Consider the following 2,046-nt stretch of genomic DNA (forward strand, 5'->3'; position numbering starts at 1 on the left):
CAAATCCCTTCTTACACGTATCAAGACTCATACTGAACAACGAGTTCTGGGTTGCAAGAGGACTTTTTGAACCTGTCTATAAATGTCCACATGTTAAAACATACAAGTGCTGAATTTTATTTTTAAATGACATAATTGGATATATTTATGGGATACGATGTGATACACTGATACATGTATACATTGCAGAATGAGCAAGTTAGGCTAACACATCCATTGCCTCACATGCTTATTTTTGGTAAGAATATTTAAAAATCCATTCTTTTAACAATTAAGATATAATACATTATTAACTAAAGTCACCTTGATGTGAAAAAGGTCAGAACTTCGTCCTCCTGTAAGAAACTGAACTGTTGTACCTTTTGACCATTTCCCTTGGCCCCACCCACTCATATCCCCAGCCTCTGGTGGGAGCATGCAATATTCTCATTTCTATGCCCCACTTATTTCACTTAAGATCAGAATAAAGAGACAATCCATAAATAGGGAGAAAATATTTGCAAATCATACATCAACTAAGGAGATCATATCCAAAATATACAATAAACACAAACCACTCAATAAGAACACAAATATTTATCAGCTTAAGGAGATTTTGGGCTGAGACAATGGGGTTTTCTAGATAAACAATCATGTCGTCTGCAAACAGGGACAATTTGACTTCCTCTTTTCCTAATTGAATACCCTTTATTTCCTTCTCCTGCCTAATTGCCTTGGCCAGAACTTCCAACACTATGTTGAATAGGAGTGGTGAGAGAGGGCATCCCTGTCTTGTGCCAGTTTTCAAAGGGAATCCTTCCAGTTTTTGCCCATTCAGTATGATATTGGCTGTGGGTTTGTCATAGATAGCTCTTATTATTTTGAAATACGTCCCATCAATACCTAATTTATTGAGAGTTTTTAGCATGAAGGGTTGTTGAATTTTGTCAAAGGCTTTTTCTGCATCTATTGAGATAATCACGTGGTTTTTGTCTTTGGCTCTGTTTATATGCTGGATTAGATTTATTGATTTGCGTATACTGAACAAGCCTTGCATCCCAGGGATGAAGCCCACTTGATCATGGTGGATAAGTTTTTTGATGTGCTGCTGGATTCGTTTTGCCAGTATTTTATTGAGAATTTTTGCATCAATGTTCATCAAGGATATTGGTCTAAAATTCTCTTTTTTTGTTGTGTCTCTGCCTGGCTTTGGTATCAGAATGATGCTGATAAGCAACTTCAGCAAAGTCTCAGGATACAAAATCAAAGTACAAAAATCACAAGCATTCTTATACACCAATAACAGACAAACAGAGAGCCAAATCATGAGTGAACTCCCATTCACAATTGCTTCAAAGAGAATACCTAGGAATCCAACTTACAAGGGATGTGAAGGACCTCTTCAAGGAGAACTACAAACCACTGCTCAACGAAATAAAAGAGGATACAAACAAATGGAAGAACATTCCATGCTCATGGGTAGGAAGAATCAATATCGTGAAAATGCCCAAGGTAATTTACACATTCAATGCCATCCCCATAAAGCTACCAATGACTTTCTTCACAGAATTGGAAAAAACCACTTTAAAGTTCATATGGAACCAAAAAAGAGCCCTCATTGCCAAGTCAATCCTAAGCCAAAAGAACAAAGCTGGAGGCATCACACTACCTGACTTCAAACTATACTACAAGGCTACAGTAACCAAAACAGCATGGTACTGGTACCAAAACAGAGATATAGATCAATGGAACAGAACAGAGCCCTCAGAAATAATGCCGCATATCTACAACTATCTGATCTTTGACAAACCTGAGAAAAACAAGCAATGGGGAAAGGATTCCCCATTTAATAAATGGTGCTGGGAAAACTGGCTAGCCATATGTAGAAAGCTCAAACTGGATCCCTTCCTTACACCTTATACAAAAATCAATTCAAGATGGATTAAAGACTTAAATGTTTGACCTAAAATCACAAAAACCCTAGAAGAAAACCTAGGCATTACCATTCAGGACACAGGCATGGGCAAGGACTTCATGTCTAAAACACCAAAAGCAATGGCAACAAAA

General features: G+C 37.4%; 1 pseudogene; it reads right to left on the reverse strand.

Moving 5' to 3' along the window:
• LOC124900381 (uncharacterized) lies at nucleotides 1–111 on the reverse strand (annotated as a pseudogene).
• Nucleotides 112–2,046: the final 1,935 nt, after the last annotated feature.

Source organism: Homo sapiens, chromosome 16, assembly GCF_000001405.40.
Source record: "Homo sapiens chromosome 16, GRCh38.p14 Primary Assembly".
NCBI lineage: Eukaryota > Metazoa > Chordata > Mammalia > Primates > Hominidae > Homo > Homo sapiens.